This window comes from Homo sapiens, chromosome 2, assembly GCF_000001405.40.
Source record: "Homo sapiens chromosome 2, GRCh38.p14 Primary Assembly".
In the NCBI taxonomy this organism is placed as follows: domain Eukaryota; kingdom Metazoa; phylum Chordata; class Mammalia; order Primates; family Hominidae; genus Homo; species Homo sapiens.
In genome coordinates, this window is record NC_000002.12 from 200811588 (window position 1) to 200831162 (window position 19575).

Consider the following 19575-nt stretch of genomic DNA (forward strand, 5'->3'; position numbering starts at 1 on the left):
AGGAGGACGCGTCCAACTTCGAGACCGGCGGGGGCCGGCTCCGCTCTTCCAACCCCTCCATGTGTGAAGAGGGCGGACGACGCAGCGGGGGAAGAAAAATAAGCTAGTCTAGGACAAGTGTCCAGGCGACGTGGAACCCAGTAAGGGAATAAAGAAGACTGGAAACGTCTCTCCCCTCCCCTATCCCAGTCCCTCACCCTAATCCGCGCGCAATAGAAAAGGCGGAAGCGCCTGTCCACGATCAGGGCGGGGCAAGGGGAAGAAATCTCGCGATAGGAGAGCGGTCCGGGCGGGGGTGGCACCTCTCCCTCCTCCTGGCGTTAGTTCCGGTCGCAGAGGAGACACCGCCGCAGTTGCCGGTACATCGGGGATTTCTGGCTCTTTCCTCTTCGCCTTAAATTCGGTGAGACGCGGCGCCCCGCTCACCCCGGGCGGACGCTGCGGGTCGTGGACGCCGGGCAGAGGGAGAGGGAGGCGGCGGGCTGGATGCGGCCCGGCTTGGATGGGCCCGAACGGAGGTCGCCTCTTGAGGCCGGGCCGGATCTAGGGCCTGAAAGGCCGCCGCTTCGGCAGGGAGGCCGAGGGGTAGCGGCGGCCCGGGTGGGGAGGTGGGGTCCGGGTGTGCGCCGCGGCGCTGGCTGCGAAGGCAGTGGCCGAGGCGGGCTCCCTCTGGGCCGTGCCCGGCCTGGCTAACAAAGCCGCCGCGGCCTCTGTTGTGTGATGTACGCGTGGGGGCTTCCGGCGGGCGGGGCGGAGGGGCTGCCACCCACCACCGCTGCGGCCGCCGCCTCCGCCGCTGCTTTCGCTGGAGGGCGGGCGGATGTACGGGGCGCCTGGGGCCCCGGCGCAAAGCGCCTCAGTGACTGTGGTCCGCTCGTTGCGGCGGCCGCCACCGCAGGCGACAGGGTCAGTGGAGAAAGAGCCGCGGGACCCTACGGCGCCCCGCTGTGGCCGATGGGGTCCTGGGCGGGAAGCGGGTGATCTGTGGCTCGGGCGGGAGGCATGGGAAGGGTGTGGATTGGGAGACACGTTACCGGGGAGGAGGCTAGGACTGTGGGATATGGGCGAAGGAGGCTGGGCTGGCTGTTAGTTTTGCAGGCCTGAGTGGTGCAAGGCGGCCGCTGTTGCGGTCACAGGCATGACCTAGGGTAGGATGGTGCTGCCCGTAACCAGGCTTGTCAGAAGAAGGGGTTCACCTTTTGACAGTGTTTTAGAATTGGCATACACATTTTGGATGCCTGCTGACTATGGTGATAATCTCTCTTTGCGTTCTGCGATGCTTAGTGGTCGTGGAAGATGTAAGTGAATGTAAAGAGGAATGTGGAGAAAACTGAACAATTAGGTTTATGACGGGTGATCACTGTAGCACTACAATGTCGCTTAAAAGTAGTTCACAGCACTAATTTGAAGGGTTTCTTGTAGAGAGAAATGCACATTTTGACGTACATTTGATTCAAGTGCAGGTAATTCTTTGTGCCTGTATCGGGTATAATTGCCAGCTTTATATCCTGAGAGTGGGTGTTCCATTTGATTCATATGTGACTAGACTAAGGTTTGATGTTTTGCTTTAAAAATTAGTATTATGGCACTGATATTAAGGCTTTATTTCTCCTTTCCTAGGGTGTCTTTTATGAATAATCAAAAGCAGCAAAAGCCAACGCTATCAGGCCAGCGTTTTAAAACTAGAAAAAGAGGTAAATATTTACGTTTTAATGTCTCTCTTCAAACCTCCAGAACATCTTGTGTATCTTGCCTTCTCTGACAGGTACTTGCATATTACTAAAGCCTCAAAAGAAGATACCAGAAAGAAACTTGAATTTCTCGTTGACTGCCATTTCACATACACCTTTAATATTTCTACTGCTTTACTGCTCAAGCCTTAATTTTTAGTATCAATATATCTCTAAGCCGGTTAGTGAATCTTCTTTTCGGTGTGAAGGTAAAATATTTTTAAAAATAAAAATAAGGGCTCTGTTTTCACTAGCAGGCAGTCTCATTTAAGCAAACTTAAATGAGCAAAAATGTTAATTTATAAAAGGAGAACTCCTAATGTAGTCACCCAGATTTTGTGAAGATTTGTGAGAGAAAACTCAGACTTCACCCATGGAAGTTAATTGTGGAACAGGATTCACATTGTAATGTCTTTTGAAATACAGACTTAGTAGAAAAAGTATTAGAATTATATTACTATTTTTTTTTTGCATTAGTGTGTACTTAGGTGAGTATTGAATTCTGTAGCAAAGTGCTGTGCTAGTGATATAAAGCTAAATAAGACGTAGTCTCAGATATATTTTTACTGTTTTTGGTCAAAAGCATATTAACCTTGTTTTACAGGTGGTTTTGAGGAAATGAAGAACTAGGTCAGCTACTGGTTATAAGTTGTGTTTTTCTTTTTCTTCCTTAAGTAGCAGACATTTTGAGATATATATTGTAGAATTTTAAAATCACTAATCATAGGCTGTCTGTCCCCTTGTAGTAGTGGTGGGGAGACCAAAGTGTGATTTGATTCTAATCTTTGCAGATTCATTTAGATTTAGCTGGTAAATTTTCTTAAGGAGCTGGAGTTGTAAACTAGAACAGTTTGGCAGTAAAATGGGAAAGTGTATCTCTTGAATATGTGGGTTACTGATGTTACCTTGATACAAATAATAGCAAGTAGCTTTAGCATTCTTATTATTAGCATCAGGGAGAGATGTAACTTCCCCGGTTCCAGATAGAGATGATTCGTGGCCTGGCTGTTGATGGTTAGGGTACTGGGTAGGGTATACAACACTCCCTGTCTGGGACTGAGGGAGTTTCCAGACACAAGACTTTCAGTGCTAAAACCAGGAAAGTGCTGGGCACTCAGAGGTGTTTGTCACCCTAGTACTGTGTGAACAGATGTCATCTAGCCTAGATTGGGAAAGCAAAACCCTATTATGAAGTGTGTGAAAGCAACTCAGTAAAGGTCAGGTATGTGCACAAGGCTGTGGTCTGGGAGCTTTCTATTTTATTAATGTCATTTGGTATTTACAACAACTTTATGGGATAGGTACTATTCTTATCCCCATTTTACAGTAGGGGAATTCTGGCATGGCGAGTGAGACTATTTGCTTGAATTCAGGTGGTTAAATGGTGGTCAGGATTTGAATCAGGCAGTTTAACTCCAGAGCCCATGTACTGAACTACTACACAATATAGTCTCTTGATTACCTAATTTCTCTGACTCTCAGTTTTCCTTCTGAATAATAGGGGGAAAAATCTGCCTCACAAGGTTGTTAACAGGATTAAAGCAAATGCTTAATATAGTTTCTGTCATTGGGTGCTCATTAAATGTACTTTCTAAAGCTCACCTTCATAAATGCCAAAGGATTGGTTCAATTTTTTTGTTTGTTTAATATTATGGACATTTAAGGAAAAGGATCAAGAGCTCCAGTGTCTGGACAAAACCCAAAGGAATAAAATGTACCTGTTAGAGGATGGCCTAAATTTTGGAAAAGCCAAGAGGCAGTAGGAGGGCGTTCCCAGTAGAAATTGGCTTATGGCAGTAGGAACACAAGACACTAGCACATTTAGATCACTTGTGAAATTATTTGAAAAGTTGCACAATTCTTGTGAGTGGGCCATCTTGTCTTACACTTGCAGAGGGGAAACATGCAAAGGATGTGAATTTAATCTAACTTATTTAACAATTGCATCTTCATAAGGTGATAGTTTTGTGGCATTTTGGTAAATCTTTTAAAACTAAATGTTTTGGGTCCCTTGTCCCCCCAGATGAAAAAGAGAGGTTTGACCCTACTCAGTTTCAAGACTGTATTATTCAAGGCTTAACTGAAACCGGTACTGATTTGGAAGCAGTAGCTAAGTTTCTTGATGCTTCTGGAGCAAAACTTGATTACCGTCGATATGCAGAAACACTCTTTGACATTCTGGTGGCTGGTGGAATGCTGGGTAAGTGTCTGTGGTTTGTGGGCTTAATAATTTAGAAAGGTATAATATATGGAGATTATGGAGAGTCTAGAATATGAACTATTTGGCAAACTTGTTAAAATGGAGTGATTTTTTTGGTTTTGTTGTATTTTGGTTTTATCCAACTTTAGCCCCAGGTGGTACACTGGCAGATGACATGATGCGTACAGATGTCTGCGTGTTTGCAGCCCAAGAAGATCTAGAGACCATGCAAGCATTTGCTCAGGTAAATGAAACTTTACATAATTGTTTTCAGTTGGCTACTATCCATGTGGTATATTTGAGGAATATTCTACTTTTAAGAGTTGTGGTTAGAAAGTTGAAGGAATTTGATTTTAAATTTTAGGGATACTGTTCTTGGTGCAACGGGATGAATTAGAAACTTAAGGTGTGTTAAGGCGAACAAAATAGGGAAAAATGAAATTAACTCTTCTGTTCCTATTTGTCCTGAAATTACTCAATTTTTAAGAAAAATGTCAAGCTGGAAAAGTCAGTTTCGTATTGTGATTTCTCTAGTTTATCTGCATACATTTATTTTTAAAGTTAAATGAGTTGTGAGCTGATTAGCTTGTTAATCAAGATCTCATTGGAAAGTTTCATACGTAGTTATGTTTGTGTTACTGTAAGCAAAGAATTAAAGTACATCTAACCTGGACATTCTTATGTGTCACTAGGAATTCTTCTCAAGCTGGTTTAAGCAGCTCATAAACTTACATCGAGTGAAAGGTTTACTACTTTGCTATTCTAGAAATATATGAAGTTACTGAATTCATTTAATGTTCTTCATAGGTTTTTAACAAGTTAATCAGGCGCTACAAATACCTGGAGAAAGGTTTTGAAGATGAAGTAAAAAAGGTATGAGTAATAATGTACTTTGTGGAAAAGAAAAAAATAGGGTTAGAAAGAGGAATGTTAAATCCTAATTCCGCCACAGATTTGGAGTAATTTTGCTTGTTTGTTTGGGTTGTTTTTTGAGACAGAGCCTCACTCTGTGTCCCAGGCTGGGGGTGCAGTGGCTCAGTCTCAGCTCACTGCAGCCTTTGCCTCCCGGGTTCAAGCGATTCTCGTGCCTCAGCCTCCCGAGTAGCTGGGATTACAGGCATGTGCCACCATGCCCAGCTAATTTTCTGTTTTTAGTAGAGACAGGGTTTCACCATGTTGGCTAGGCTGGCCTTGAACTCCTGGCCTCAAGTGATCTGCCCTCGGCCTCCCAAAGTGCTGGGGTTATAGGTGTGAGCCAACACGCCTGGCCCAATATTGCATATAGATGCCCAGAAAACTTGATATGTTTATCAAGCACCAGGCACTGTTCTAATGATACTAATTCACTCAATGTTTATAAAAACCCTGTGAGGCAAGTTTTATTATCCACATTTTACATGTGAGGTGCAGAGGTTAAGTAACTTGCCCGAGATCATTCAGCTAATGAGTATTGTAACTTAGATGTAAACTTGGATGGTTAGATCCCAGAGCCCACGTATTGAACAGGTAGCCAGTATAACATGCTTTACTGCTTCTCTTATTGTAATGCAGTTGCTGTTTTAACCCTTAATTGTTTTACTTTTTACAGCTGCTGCTGTTCTTGAAGGGTTTTTCAGAGTCGGAGAGGAACAAGCTAGCTATGTTGACTGGTGTTCTTCTGGCTAATGGAACACTTAATGCATCCATTCTTAATAGCCTTTATAATGAAAATTTGGTTAAAGAAGGTAATCAGCCTTAAAGGATGGTCTTCAGTTGACTCAGAGTGGGGTGGATAAGAGCATGGTTTACTGTTCATAGATGTGACTTCTGTGAAAGTCTTCGTTTATTAACCAGCCTTAAATTTAATAAGTTCAGTCTAATTCACTAGACATTTAATGAATACCTTTGGCATCCAGGTTTAATGGCTTTCTTTAGGCATACAACAGATACCCAGATTTAGACAAAATGTTGTTATATGTAATAAAAATAAAATGAGAAATGCTGTGGGAACCCCAGAAGAGATTAATACCAATTGGGAGACTTGGAGAAGATGACGTTTGGGGAAAATGTCAAGCTGGAAGGGAAAATCAGTTCCCTGTTTGGCTCCAATTGTCGGATTATTCTCTACAGTAATTTTTTTGAAGCTTTTTTTTTTTTAAAAAACTGCTTGCAGTAGTGAGTATTTAAGTTACCTTACTGTAATTCTCACAACAGTCTTGTCAAGTGTAGAGACTGTTGCCCTCAATTTATACTTTGGAAAACACTTTAAGTAACTTGGCCAAGAATATACAATTTGCAAGTGGTAGACTAGGGAGATTGGAGAAGTGATAAACTGTGGCCCAGGAAAGTTCAGGGTTAAGTTTGTGAGGAAAGTCAGTAATCCCATGTGATTGAACTATGAAGGGAAGGATATAGGGGGACACAGTGATTGAAACCAGGGAAGGTACTTCTGTTAATTAAGCTATTTTCTTTTACAGGAGTTTCAGCAGCTTTTGCTGTGAAGCTCTTTAAATCATGGATAAATGAAAAAGATATCAATGCAGTAGCTGCAAGTCTTCGGAAAGTCAGCATGGATAACAGACTGATGGTTGGTAACTTTTTTTCATTCTTCCCATTCTTGCCAAGGATGTAAATGAGAGAAATTTCTCATTTTTAAGACTGTGAAAAGAAAGTGTTTTTCTTAATCTGATTTAAAGAAAGTTTAACCAGATAAATTCTTCTTTTAGGAACTCTTTCCTGCCAATAAGCAAAGTGTTGAACACTTCACAAAATATTTTACTGAGGCAGGCTTGAAAGAGCTTTCAGAATATGTTCGGAATCAGCAAACCATCGGAGCTCGTAAGGAGCTCCAGAAAGAACTTCAAGAACAGATGTCCCGTGGTGATCCATTTAAGGATGTAAGTTTTTGTTTAAACCGTCTTTTTATGGCTAAGCTTCTGGCATAGAGATTTTCACTAATTTGAGGAACTTACTTCACCAGGATGAGATTGAGTTAATAGTAACAGGATGTTATACTGGAACTTTGCCTCATTCTTTTGCATATGCTTCTTCAGTGCCTGACTGAGGCCCAGAAATACAAGAGACTGGAGCTCAGGGCACCTTTCAGTTGTAAAGGTCTCTTTTTATATGTGGTACACATGTGGTTGCCAGTTGCATGGAAAAGGAGTTGTTAGTTTTTGTTAAAGGTCTAAACTTGATGTGTGAAGTATGTACATAATCAAAACTGACTTCTGTTACTAAATTTGGATTCATTTGCAGATAATTTTATATGTCAAGGAGGAGATGAAAAAAAACAACATCCCAGAGCCAGTTGTCATCGGAATAGTCTGGTCAAGTGTAATGAGCACTGTGGAATGGAACAAAAAAGAGGAGCTTGTAGCAGAGCAAGCCATCAAGCACTTGAAGGTATTAGAACTATGCCTTGACAAAACAAACTATTCTGCTTTCACGTGGTGATAAGTGAACTGTGACTATATTTTTCTAAGAGGATTTATCACATCCTGTGGTTCCTAGGGATGGCCCACCAGTAAATAAACAAATAGTAACATTAGCTATTGATGATAATGCTCTGAATTGGGCTGTGGTTCACAGGTTAAAAACAAGAATATGGCCTGGCCAGGCACAATGGCTCACGCCTGTAAACCCAGCACTTTGGGAGGCAAGGGCAGGAGGATTGCTTGAGCTCAGTTTAAGACGTGCCTGGGCAACATAGTGAGACCTCATCTCTACTAAAAATCACAAAAAATAGCCAGTCGTGGTGGCGCATGCCTGTAGTCCCAACTACTCAGGAGGCTGAGGCAGAGGATCTCTTGAGCCCTGGAGATCAAGACTGCAGTGAGCTTATGATGGCTTTGTCAGACAAAGCCTGGGTGACAGGGTGAGATCCTGCCTCAAAAAAAAGAACATGATGAAAAGGAACTTCAGCTTGTAATTAGATGTTTGCTTTTGAAGGGGGTATTGGAAAATAGGAATTTTTCCCCCCCTCTAAAATACTAATATTGTTTGACATTTACTTGGACTACTTGGTATAGTATTGTTTATTTTACTTAGCTACTTAGATTTTCTGCTTTTTTTTTTTTCTCTTGAGACAGTCTCACTCTGTCACCCAGGCTGGAGTGCAGTGATGTGATCTCAGCTCACTGCAGCCTCCATCTCCTGGGTTCAAGCAGTTCTGCCTCCTCGGCCTCCCAAGTAGTGCCTGGCTAATTTTTGTATTTTTAGTAGAGACGAGCTTTTACCATATTGGCCAGGCTGGTCTCGAACTCCTGACCTCAAGTGATCCACCCGCCTCGGCCTCCCAAAGTGCTGGGATTACAGACGTGAGCCACTGTGCCCAGCCTATTTTTTAAATTTCTGGTAAATAAGTTATAGTTTGCAGTGATTATAAAAGATGAGTTAAGTTCTATATTGTCTGTATTGTAGGAGTTTTGTAATGGATGGTTATTTGTAATGAATGACTAAATCTTTTCTCTGTTCCTTTAAAAGCAATACAGCCCTCTACTTGCTGCCTTTACTACTCAAGGTCAGTCTGAGCTGACTCTGTTACTGAAGATTCAGGAGTATTGCTATGACAACATTCATTTCATGAAAGCCTTCCAGAAAATAGTGGTGCTTTTTTATAAAGGTAATTTAGATTTTGAATTTTGTAAATAACACTTAATAAAAACCCTTATAAACACAAAATTATCCAAATGATGAGTTATCTGGACATCAGCTCCCTGAAATATTTTACTTCTAGTTATGAGTCACCTCTGATTAAATTGGGTGCTTTTTAGTGCACTGATACTTGTTTAAAACATCTAAACCCTATTCACAAGTTGAAGTATGAAATCTAAAGCCATCATTATGCGTCCTCAAACTTGCCTCCTATACTCTTAACCAGGTATACATTCCCAAAGTTCAGCTAGGTGTGGTGGCTCATACTTGTGACCCCAACACTTTGGGAGCCTGAGGCTGGAGGATCGCTTGAGCCCAAGAGTTCAAGACCGGCCTGGACTGCATAAGGAGACCTCATCTCTACAAAAAAAATAAAAAATTAGGCAGGGAATGGTGGCGCAAGCCTGTAGTCCCAGCAACTCAGAAGGCTGAGGTAGGAGGATCACTTGAGCCTAGGAGGTCAAGGCTGCAGTGAACCATGATTGTGCCACTGCACTCCAGCAGCCTAGGCAACAAGTGAGACCCTGTTTCAAAAAAAAAAAATCCCCAAGTCCCTTTTCCAGACAGTCTGTAGTCTTAGCTATGTAGTCATAGCTCTGGAGTCTTCAGCCTGTGTGAATCCTGCTTCTGTTCATCTTACTCCCCCACCCAGTGTTGACTTTCCGTAGTCCTTCAAGACCAGTTCAGAGTGCTTCTATAGCAACCCCAATTTCAGTTATATTGTTCCCTTTTCTCCTGATCCCAATTTTAGAAACCTGGTCTAAAGTGGCTAGTAAAGACAAGACCTCTGTTGGGAGAAAATCCATTGCAGTTGGTCATAACACTTTGAAATTCTGCACTAATCAGACCAGTCTTGATCCCGTTGAGTGTAGTTGGTATGCGCACATGTATTATTATCTTCCATTTCTCATGGATGTTTTTAGCTTTTCAGCAGTTTGTTTGCTAAGCAGGCATTTGCACATTAGGTGGTGGTTCTAACGCTGAGTAGAGTATATTAAAACTCCCTTAATGCAATGAGTTTTCTTTCCAGCTGAAGTCCTGAGCGAGGAGCCCATTTTGAAGTGGTATAAAGATGCACATGTTGCAAAGGGGAAGAGTGTTTTCCTTGAGCAAATGAAAAAGTTTGTAGAATGGCTCAAAAATGCTGAAGAAGGTAAGGATTTTCCTTTGTGTGGTTTGTTTGGTAAAGCTAATTTTAATGTGGCCATAATATATCTTCACACATGCTTCCTTCTTTCTGATGCCATTTTGTACCTGGAGTAGAGATTTTTGTTATAAGGCAGGTGGCGAAAGCTAGAGTTTAATTATTATAGTATATTTATGGCTCAGCCATAATAGTAAATGTTCTTCATGAAATGGAAAATTTTGAGAATATTTAATGTTTATAAATTTGTGGATTTCTTTTCTTTTTTTTTTTAATTAAAAATATAGAGACAGAGTCTCACTATGTTGCCGATGCTGGTCTTGAACTCCTGGGCTCAAACAACCTTCCTGCCTCAGCCTCACAAAGTACAGGGATTGCAGATGTGATTGCACCCAGCCAAATGTTGGGATTTCCAAGTGAATGCTTTTGAATATCTGCCTCATGTAAATAGGTTATTAATAAAATTCGTTAACAGCTTCAAAGTTACATGGAGGCTGGGTGTGGTGGCTCACGCCTGTAATCCTAGCACTTTGGGAGGCTGAGGCGATCAGGTCATTTGAGGCCAGGAGTATGAGGCCAGCCTGGACAACATGGGAAACCCAGTCTCTACTAAAAATAAAAAATTAGCCAGTTTTGGTGGTGGGCGCCTGTAGTTCCAGCTACTTGGGAAACTGAAGTGGGAGGATCACTTGAACCCGGGAGGCAGAGGTTGCAGTGAGCCAAGAGGGTGCTGCTGCATTCCGGCCTGTGGGACAGAGGGAGACTCTGTCTTAAAGAAGCTTCAAAGTTATAAATGGGAACTTTTGCCTTCTGATACATAATGTTTGACTGTTTTTTTCCCCTTTTCTAGAATCTGAATCTGAAGCTGAAGAAGGTGACTGAATTTTGAAACTACACCCTCAGTAAAGCAAACAGGAGTTGTAGATAAAATGTCATGTCTCATGTGTCCTGGTTCTTACATCTTCCTACCTCCCTGTATCAAGCATGATATAAGGGCTTTCATGGCAAATTTTATTTTAACTGTTTCTATGGTTGCTGGAAATGTTGGGTTTAGTTTCTAAAACCATGTTTTAAGTAGCTACAGGAGCTATAGATTTGAATCTAATGTTGCATTAGTCTTTTCAGTTATCTTCTACCTCCTGTATTTTCTACTGTAATAATGTAATTTAAGGCCTTCCACAATGAACAGTTCACTTTATTCCCTGGGTTTTCTATAAACAGTTTTAAGGATATGATTTGGTTAAAAAATAATTTGTTATAAAAATTCTGTTTGCAAATTAAACTGGAAAAGTATCCAGAGTCTCAAAAGGCAATGATTTGTGAGATAATATGGCATGCCCGGAGCCCTGCTCATCAATGAAAAACCCATATGTAATAATCGAATTCATTTAACATGAATCTTGAGTACGTGGACCATTGCTTGCATGTTAACTTTTTGTTTTGTTTTGTTTTGTTTTGTTTTGCATTTTTAACTCCAGATATCCTAAAGCTCAATTGTTTGGTCTCTGGTTTTCATCCTTAGAGAAGCCATGGAGAACAGACTTGAAAAGTTTAGGAAATCATAATGTGGCAGAGGTGGTGGGAAGAAGAAAGTTGAGCTTTTTCCCCTTGAGAAACTTCTGCATTTAGTTTCTATCTTTCCAGGCAAAACAAATGGGTATTCTTTTCATACAACCATTTTCAAATGAACCTTAGAAAAGTCTTAACATTTAAGGTATTTTATGCACAGAATACACTTAGATTGATAGGAAAGAACTCGTAATGGAGTTTGAGTAAAGAAAATGACTGATGTACTAAACCCAGTAAAAATTGTTGAAAATGTTAAAGGTCAGCATGTTCTAATTGGGAATCTAGATATAGCTTAGATTTCCTATTGGCTTAGAGTATTTGCTATAACAAATGAAGTGCAATGACAATTATATATTCCTACTCGGTCATACTGGACTGGCTTCGTTCTCTTAATATACTCAGTAATGACTCAAGCCTCTGGCTATTAACATACCCTAGTTGCCGTTTTTTAATTGCCATGAGCCAAATACTTCTTGGTATACAATTGATCCATTTATTTTAATGGCTGCCTTTTCATTTTCATCTTTTCTTGCTGCTACCCATCTATGTATGTAGTCATTGGGGGGAAAATGTAGCCACATTTTTTATGGGAAGACTTTGTGTTAAAAGTGAACATTTTGAAGGTTTTTAACTGGTGAAACTAGCCTGGAATAATGCCACCAGAGACTGAGTGGAAATCGCCCCTTTTGAAGGTGCCATTCTTATGAGCCAAAAGTTTGTCATTTAAAAGTTCATTTTGAGGGAATAACATGTAATATAATTTGAAATAAAGGTATAGTAACCTTAAAAAGAACATTATAACTGATTGTTGTGAATGGGGTGAATTTGTTAAAATGAGTAACTTTGATAAAGTTTTTCATGCACAGGCAAAATGTATTCACTAGATTTCTACGTAGTGATCTGCTTTTACTTTGTAATTTGTAGTTCTCAAAAGACTTTTTTTTAAAAAAATAAAGTCCATACTTACACTTAGGCTTTATACATCAGTCTTTTTTTTTTTAAATTCCATGTTAATACCTAGTGGTATTGTATGTTGTGTGTTCAGATGTCTTTACTGTATCTGTATACCATTAAGTAATAATTAGACTCCCAAACTGTAAACCACCTACACAGAATTCTGGTGTAGCTAAAACTACATTAATATTTCTACAACCAATTCATTGCATGTTTCTTCCATACAAAGTGTGCCATTTTATACTGTGTATAGTGAAAAAGTGTGTCATCTTCCAGAACTACATTATTATCTTTGATCGTAGTTTGTTTCTTCATAATGACACTGTAGTGTTTACTTAGTAGAACATTATAGTAAGTGGATATCACTTGTGACAGTAATAGTGTAAAGAAAGGGAATGCTTTATAAAAAGATTGCAGATTCCATTCCATATAAAAAGATTCCATTCTGAATCTTAAGTGGTAATTTTAGAATTCAGGTGCCAGTGCCAGCCTATGGCCTCAAGTATGTAATTCTTAATATAGATGTTAAATTGTACTTTTAATTATGATTGGATAAATGTTTTTTCTAACTGTCAGTTTCTAAGGCTGTCTCCTTAGAAACTAAATGAGTTTTTAGAGCTGGTTGTAAGTTTCTTAGCCTTACTCTGTGAGTTATAGATGTTATTTCATTCTATATATAGATGTTTATTCCATTCTTATTTAAAAAAAAAAACCTCCATATACCAAAAATGCTACAGGATATTTTGAAATAGCATATTTTAGTTAGGGGAAATGCATGTGACCAAGAGGTTGGACTTCTAATTCAGTTTTTCAAAAGCTTTTTTCCATTATCATACCCCCAGCCTTTTTAGGCTTTTTTTTTTTTTTTTTTGAGACGGAGTCTCGCTCTGTCACCAGGCTGGAGTGCAGTGGCGCGATCTTGGCTCACTGCAAGTTCCGCCTCCCGGGTTCACGCCATTCTCCTGCCTCAGCCTCCCGAGTAGCTGGGACTACAGGCGCCCGCCACCATGCCCGACTAATTTTTTTGTATTTTTAGTAGAGACGAGGTTTCACCGGATTAGCGAGGATGGTCTCAATCTCCTGACCTTGTGATCCACCCGCCTCAGCCTCCCAAAGTGCTGGGATTATGGGCTTGAGCCACCGCGCCCAGCTAGACTTTTTTCTAATAGAGTCCCCCATAAATTTTATTACCATAGATACGCTGTGTATGTACTGTTTCTGTGCTTTGTACATGAAAAGAGTAAAATGTTTTTGTTTTTGTTTTGGAGACAGTCTCACTCTGTTACCTGGGCTGGAGTGCAATGGCATGATCTCAGCTCACTGCAATCTCTGCCTCCTGGGTTCAAGCGATTCTCTTGCTTCAGCCTCCTGAGTAGCTGGGATTACAGGCGGCCACCACCACCCCTGGCTAATTTTTGTATTTTTAGTAGAGGTTTCACCACGTTGATCAGGCTGGTCTCAAACTCCTGACCTCGTGGTCTGCCTGCCTTGGCCTCCCAAAGTGCTGGGATTACAGGCGTGAGCCACCATGCCCAACCAATTTTTTTTTTTTAAATCCTTGGTAGTGATTGACCCCCATTGAGAATGCATGCTCTAATATTTTTTAAAAGGGAAGAAGACCTAGTGATAGACCTTTGCATTGGCAGGCATGTCTTTATGTTTATACAGTGAAGTAGTATTTTTTCTGTCAGGGTCAATAGAAAGTAGACGAAATTCATTTTCAGCCAATCTTTCACCAGTTGTGCTTTGTTCCTTACCCCACCACAGGCAACAGACAAAGCATTTCCTGCTGTCTTTCAAGGTCTTAACAGATTCTTTCTTGATTATAAATGTATTACTAAGTAGAATCATTTGGGTTCTTTCTATAAAAATCAGTGAAAATCCTCTAGATGAATGAATTAAAGTTGTAGGCATAACACTGATAAACCTCTGCTCTCATACTGAAGTAGGCTGCTTGCAGGAACTGACAACTATTGGTTGGCTTTAAATGTAATGTAGATGCCAAAGTTTTAGTGTACAGTGTTACTTAAATTACCAAATTACCTTTGTACAAATATTCCTCAGATGCTGTCTACAGGTGCCATATAAAATAGGTTGATAAGTATTTGCAAATTCTGGTAAATTGCCTTGCTATGATTTTTCATGCTCAGTATTAGTCCTCTAGTATCAATACGAAGTTTTTCTATTCCCCAGCCTACTAAGGCCTACAGGTTAAAATACCAGGAATAAAAAGGTTTTCAGTGGACTTGATTTAAGTGGAATCTGGATGATGTGACAAGTACCTTTGTCTTTGGAGTAATGAGTTTATAATTGGCTTTTGTCCAAAAACTCTTAAGTGGATTAATATCTGAACAATCTTAGACATAATTATATGAAACTGGATCAGAAAGGCTTTCTGACTCCTTTCTCTTCACTTTTTTCTCCCAGCTTAACTAGAGGCAATTAACAGTCATTTCAAATCTAATTATTTTTATTTTCCAGTGTACTTATCATCCTTTCATCTTTATGCTAGGAGTATAGTCTCAGTTCTTAATGAGTTGATGGGATGAAGATATAGATAGATAGATAGATAGATAGATAGATAGATATTTTTTTTTTTTTTTTTTTTTTTTTTTTTTTTTTTGAGACAGAGTCTCGCTCTGTCGCCCAGGCGGGAGTGCAGTGGCACAATCTCGGCTCACTGCAAGCTCCGCCTTGGGGGTTCACACCATTCTCCTGTCTCAGCCTCCTAGCTGGGATTACAGGCGCCCACCAACCAAGCCCGGCTAAGGTATTTTTAAATGTACTCAATCACTGTCATTTTAGTAACCTTGAATCAGAACCTCAGTTGTTAAAGGCTTAACTGCTTGTGGCAACTACTATAGTGCTCTAGTGGGGACAGTGGTTAAAATCTGCAGAATCCCTTGCTTTGTCATCTTATCCAGAAGGACTGATAGCTTGTTAAACTGTGGTATGATTAGAATGTTGGTGGTTGTGTAGTGCATTTGGGGTGCTACAACGTTAATCAAATATAATTGAGCTGTTCTGTTTCCAGTCAGTGTAACCATTTAAAAATACCTTGGCAAAACAAGCTAGGAGCTAGTTCATGCTAATATTCTTAAGGACAAAAATAGTTTACAGCTTTTTTTTTTTTAATCTGAAATCCTGAAGGCTATGCTTAAAAGTTAGAGATAAACCTGTTGGAAATAAGTGATTCATTTATAGACTGAAGCCTCTATGACTTCAAAAAGATACTCAACAGTCTCTGGCATTTGAAGAACAAAATATTTTCTCTGTAAATACACCTCATTTCCATTCTAGTTAGGAGCAATGGCGCCCAGGACGGCACACAGAATGGAGAAAACTGGATAGCTGGTAACTCATTTAGCTCTTGGCACTCTAAAAAACCTCAAATACAGCCATCCAAGCCAGTAATTCTATTGCTGCGTTATTTCTGTGTTTAACTGTGAAACTTGCTTCTTGTCTGTACCCTTGAAATGGAATAAAATTTCATGAGACTCCTTGTTAATGTAGAGAAAAGCAATGACTGTTCAGTTGGTTGTACACTAAGGCCTCAGTCCTTGACCTTTCCCATTTTGCTCAGTGTTTTAAATATGATGTAAGGGCCTGTGCTTCCAGATATTTTTTTCTCCAGTCTCATTTTTGCATTTGTATGGCTCATGTACTTCAAACTGTTGGTACATGTTCCAAAAATGCCAGTGTTTAATTCAAAAGAGATGAATGTGATCTACTCCAGAATGCTTCAAGTCCTGTCCACTTTAACTCCAAAGTAATCTCAAATGCCACCGCAGTTCAGGCCACCAGCATCTTACCTAGTTACTAAGTGATTTTTGCATCCACTTTTGTGTATCTCATCTTTTAACAGCAAGAGTGGTCTTTGGATGTAGTTTACCAGTTTAAAATCTTTGTCTTTGCCTAGGTGGTCTTTCATGAACTATTCAGCTTCATCTGCCTTTTCCTCTTCGTCACTATGTGCTGTGTAGTTGGCAGAGCTTGTCACATCCAAACCTGCAGGTAATTGAACAAGCTGGTTACTGACTGGATTAGTATCCAGGGAATAGTGAAGATAGGAAAAAGATTATAAAGCCCATCAGTTAATACCATTTGTGTTTTGTTTTTTGAGGTGGTCTTGTCCTGTCACCCAGACTGACATGATCATAGCTGAGTGCAGCCTCAAACTCCTGGGCTCAAGCAATCTTCGCACCTCAGTGGCTGGGACTGTAGGTGTCACGCTTAATACTGTTATTAAAAAGACAACTAGGAGGGATGTTTGCTTGTAGAATGAAAACTGTTATGTGAATTCCAAGTATTAGGAAGCAACTTTTCTTAGACAAGATTAGATGAAAGCTATTTGTGCCCTGTGGTTAGTATTGCTTGATGTGACCAAGACAGGATGAGAAGCTGGCAGTCAGCAAATGTGAAACATACACTGTCAGGCCCTCTGCTGAGCTTTAAGACTATGGTAATGAACAGCACTGGACCCCAAGATTCAAGCCCATAGGAGGAGATAGGAAAGGAAGAGTAGGCTGAATGCAAAACGAAAGGATGTGGGAGGGACTGGCAAATTGGAGAGTCCAGTCTCAAGAATATAATCTGTAAATTATTAGGATACCGTGAAAGACAAATTGCACTTGCTGATAAAATATGGTTTGCAAATGCCTAATATCTGAACAAAACAGTGCATACCTACAGTCTAATGGAGAAAGATCTGTCTCCATCTGTTAGCTGTGTGACTGGGCAAATAATTTAGCCTCTGAATCTTGTTTCCTGAACCTGTAAAATGAGAATGGCAATCTAATTTTGATTAAATGATATCATTGCTGGGCACAGTGGCACACACCTGTAATCTCAGCTACTGGGGAGGCTGAGATAAAGAATTGCTTGAGTCCAGGAGTTCGAGGATATAGTGAGCTATGATCATATGTGAGAATAGCCACTGCCCTCCAGCCTGGGCAACATAGTGAGACCCCATCTCTGGGGGAAAAAAATGGTATCATTTTACCCAGTGATAAAATGACAGTCTCAACTACATGGGGCAGTTGAGAAGTTCTACTTAAAGTAGCTGGGATTACAGGCATGTGCCACCACACTCGGCTAATTTTGTTTGTATTTTTAGTAGAGATGGGGTTTCTCCATGTTGGTCAGGCTAGTCTCGAACTCCCGACCTCAGGTGATCCACCCGCCTCGGCCTCCCAAAGGGCTGGGATTACAGGCGTGAGCCACCGCGCCCAGCCATAAATACAGGTTTTTATGTTTGATAGGAACTGGTGGAAGGTAATTTAAGTGCCAGCAGCCATCATTATGATGCCTGCTTTAGCAACTATAAAAAAGGAGAAGCAAGATAGTAGCTGAAATCCTTATAGCCCAGTAGTGAATGATAATCATGCTTTGTGTGACTGGTCAAGTATTCAGTGAATCTCACAAAATCCTTTGTAGTAACAGTATAAATATTATCAACTTCTAAGAACAAGAGAGGAGAGTTAATGGCAAATGAAAAATATCCAACTGTTGGAAGAAGGCAAGCAGATATGACCAACAACCAGCTTGGTTTTAGCTTTCTCTGTTCTGCTAAGCCCTTGTGGTGTCGCAGGTTGCTAACAACAACCCAGGAAGTTGATTGGAACTGCCAAACTCCGCAAGGTCTTGGGAGTCAGGGATGCTAATTTCTTCTGAGAGTGGGTGTGAGTATGGTGGAGCTGAAAACAAGTTTATTGAATGTCTTAGGCCATCCCTTCCCCCTATGCTGGCAGGTGAGTGCCCCTGCACAAATTCAGCAGAAAACAGAAGTTTCACCATCTGCAAAAGTTGGAAAAAGGGGAGGAGAGGGTGATAATGGACTGGGGGATACCAGACAGAGTAAAAAAGTGCCGTATTAAAAATAAAAGCCAGGCGCAGTGGCTCACGCCTGTAATCCCAACACTTTGGGAGGCAGAGGCGGGCAGATCACTAGGTCAGGAGATCGAGACCATCCTGGCTAACATGGTGAAACCCCATCTCCACTAAAAATACAAAAAAAAAAAAAAATTAGCCAGGTGTGGTGGCGGGCGCCTGTAGTCCCAACTACTCGGGAGGGTGAGGCAGGAGAATGGCGTGAACCCGGGAGGCGGAGCTTGCAGTGAGCCGAGATCGCGCCAGTGCACTCCAGCCTGGGTGACAGCGAGACTGTGTCTCAAAAAAAAAAAAAAAATAGTGCTCACTTCGGCAGCACATATACTAAAAATTGGAACGATACAGAGAAGATTATCATGGCCCCTGTGCAAGGATGACACGCAAATTCGTGAAGCGTTCCATATTTTTATGAGAACACTTGGACACAGGAAGGGGAATATCACACACCGGGGCCTGTCGTGGGTTGGGGGGAGTGGGGAGGGAAAGCATTAGGAGATATACCCAATGTAAATGGCAAGTTAATGGGTGCAGCACACCAACATGGCACATGTATACATATGATGTAACAAACCCGCACGTTGTGCAAACCCTAGAACTTAAAGTATAATAAAAAAATTTAATTTAAAAAATATAAAAATAATGGCCGGGCACGATGGCTCACACCTGTAATCCCAGCACTTTGGGAGGCCGAGGCAGGCGGATCACCTGAGGTCGGGAGTTCGAGACCAGCCTGACTAATACGGAGAAACCCCGTCTCTACTAAAAATACAAAATTAGCCGGGCGTGGTGGCACACGCCTGTAATCTCAGCTACTCAGGAGGCTGAGGCAGGAGAATCGCTTGAACCCGGGAGGCGGAGGTTGCGGTGAGCCGAGATCGCGCCATTGCACTCCAGCCTGGGCAACAAAAGCAAAACTCCGTCTCAAAAAATAAATTAATTAATAATAAAAATTAAAATAAAGCCAGGCACAGTGTCTCACACGTGCAACCCCAGCACTTTCGGAGGCCAAGACAAGAATTGCCTGAAGCCAGGAGTTCAAGACCAGCCTGGGCAACGGAGACCCCCATCTCTACAAAAAAAGTAATCAAGTGAGCTACTTGGGAGGCTGAGGAGGGAGGATTGCTTGAGCCCAGGAATTCAAGGCTGCAGTGAGCTATGATCACACTACCGAACTCCGTGACAGAGAAAGACCTTGTCTCTTAAAAAAAAGGCTGGGCATGGTGGCCCATGCCCAGCACTTTGGGAGGCTGAGGCAGGTGGATCACCTAAGGTCAGAAGTTTGAGACCAGCCTGGCCAACATGGCGAAACTAAAAGTACAAAAATTAGCCGGGCATGGTGGCTGGCACCTGTAATCCCAGCTACTTGGGAGGCTGAGGCAGGAGAATCGCTTGAACCTGGGAGGCAGAGGTTGCAGTGAGCCAAGATCGTGCCATTGCACTCCAGCCTGGGTGAC

The 19575-nt window shown here is 41.4% G+C and overlaps 1 protein-coding gene, 1 long non-coding RNA gene and 1 pseudogene across 11 annotated transcripts in view, besides 4 other annotated features; 2 read left to right on the forward strand and 1 right to left on the reverse strand.

The window, feature by feature from the left end:
* Positions 1 to 583, reverse strand: part of BZW1-AS1 (BZW1 antisense RNA 1) — a 31676-nt gene extending 31093 nt beyond the window's left edge. The window contains exon 1 of the long non-coding RNA NR_110275.1: positions 198 to 583. This is a non-coding gene — a long non-coding RNA (BZW1 antisense RNA 1). The remainder of the gene's footprint in view (positions 1 to 197) is intronic.
* BZW1 (basic leucine zipper and W2 domains 1) lies at positions 2 to 15751 on the forward strand. Of its 10 annotated transcripts, none has more exons than NM_001321690.1 (12): positions 2 to 140; positions 1621 to 1694; positions 3754 to 3930; positions 4080 to 4174; positions 4738 to 4803; positions 5519 to 5654; positions 6387 to 6496; positions 6636 to 6806; positions 7168 to 7314; positions 8395 to 8533; positions 9596 to 9718; positions 10560 to 12264. In NM_001321690.1, the coding sequence occupies exons 2-12, from the start codon at positions 1631 to 1633 to the stop codon at positions 10589 to 10591; spliced, it is 1260 nt and encodes a 419-aa protein (NP_001308619.1). In that variant the 5' UTR covers positions 2 to 140; positions 1621 to 1630; the 3' UTR covers positions 10592 to 12264. The 10 variants fall into 10 exon arrangements, with proteins under 10 accessions (NP_001308619.1, NP_001193996.1, NP_001308620.1 ...); NM_001207067.2 differs by lacking the exon at positions 2 to 140 and adding an exon at positions 323 to 403 and having other exon boundaries at positions 10560 to 15751; NM_001321691.2 differs by lacking the exon at positions 2 to 140 and adding an exon at positions 323 to 403 and having other exon boundaries at positions 8395 to 8431; positions 10560 to 15751.
* Positions 527 to 896: a silencer, noted in NCBI's record as "silent region_12228". NCBI's record gives its function as "represses an Ori minimal core promoter by ATAC-STARR-seq in GM12878 lymphoblastoid cells {active_cell/tissue: GM12878}" and the evidence as "EXISTENCE:reporter gene assay evidence [ECO:0000049][PMID:35858748]".
* Positions 527 to 1160: a biological region, named in NCBI's record as "H3K27ac hESC enhancer GRCh37_chr2:201676955-201677470".
* Positions 645 to 1160: an enhancer, noted in NCBI's record as "H3K27ac hESC enhancer chr2:201676955-201677470 (GRCh37/hg19 assembly coordinates)". NCBI's record gives its function as "activates a minimal SCP1, AML or CMV promoter by ChIP-STARR-seq in primed H9 embryonic stem cells {active_cell/tissue: H9 hESC(primed)}" and the evidence as "EXISTENCE:reporter gene assay evidence [ECO:0000049][PMID:30033119]".
* Positions 1161 to 1676: an enhancer, noted in NCBI's record as "H3K27ac hESC enhancer chr2:201677471-201677986 (GRCh37/hg19 assembly coordinates)". NCBI's record gives its function as "activates a minimal SCP1, AML or CMV promoter by ChIP-STARR-seq in primed H9 embryonic stem cells {active_cell/tissue: H9 hESC(primed)}" and the evidence as "EXISTENCE:reporter gene assay evidence [ECO:0000049][PMID:30033119]".
* Positions 18422 to 18529, forward strand: RNU6-31P (RNA, U6 small nuclear 31, pseudogene; annotated as a pseudogene).

Bases quoted from the DNA above. Each gene is read 5' to 3' on its own strand.
- BZW1 (NM_001207068.3), top strand. From the start codon at position 821: ATGTACGGGGCGCCTGGGGCCCCGGCGCAAAGCGCCTCAGTGACTGTG. The intron at 907-1,620 runs GTCAGTGGAGAA...CTCCTTTCCTAG, and splicing joins CCGCCACCGCAGGCGACAGG to GGTGTCTTTTATGAATAATC. The intron at 5,655-6,386 runs GTAATCAGCCTT...TTTCTTTTACAG, and splicing joins TGAAAATTTGGTTAAAGAAG to GAGTTTCAGCAGCTTTTGCT.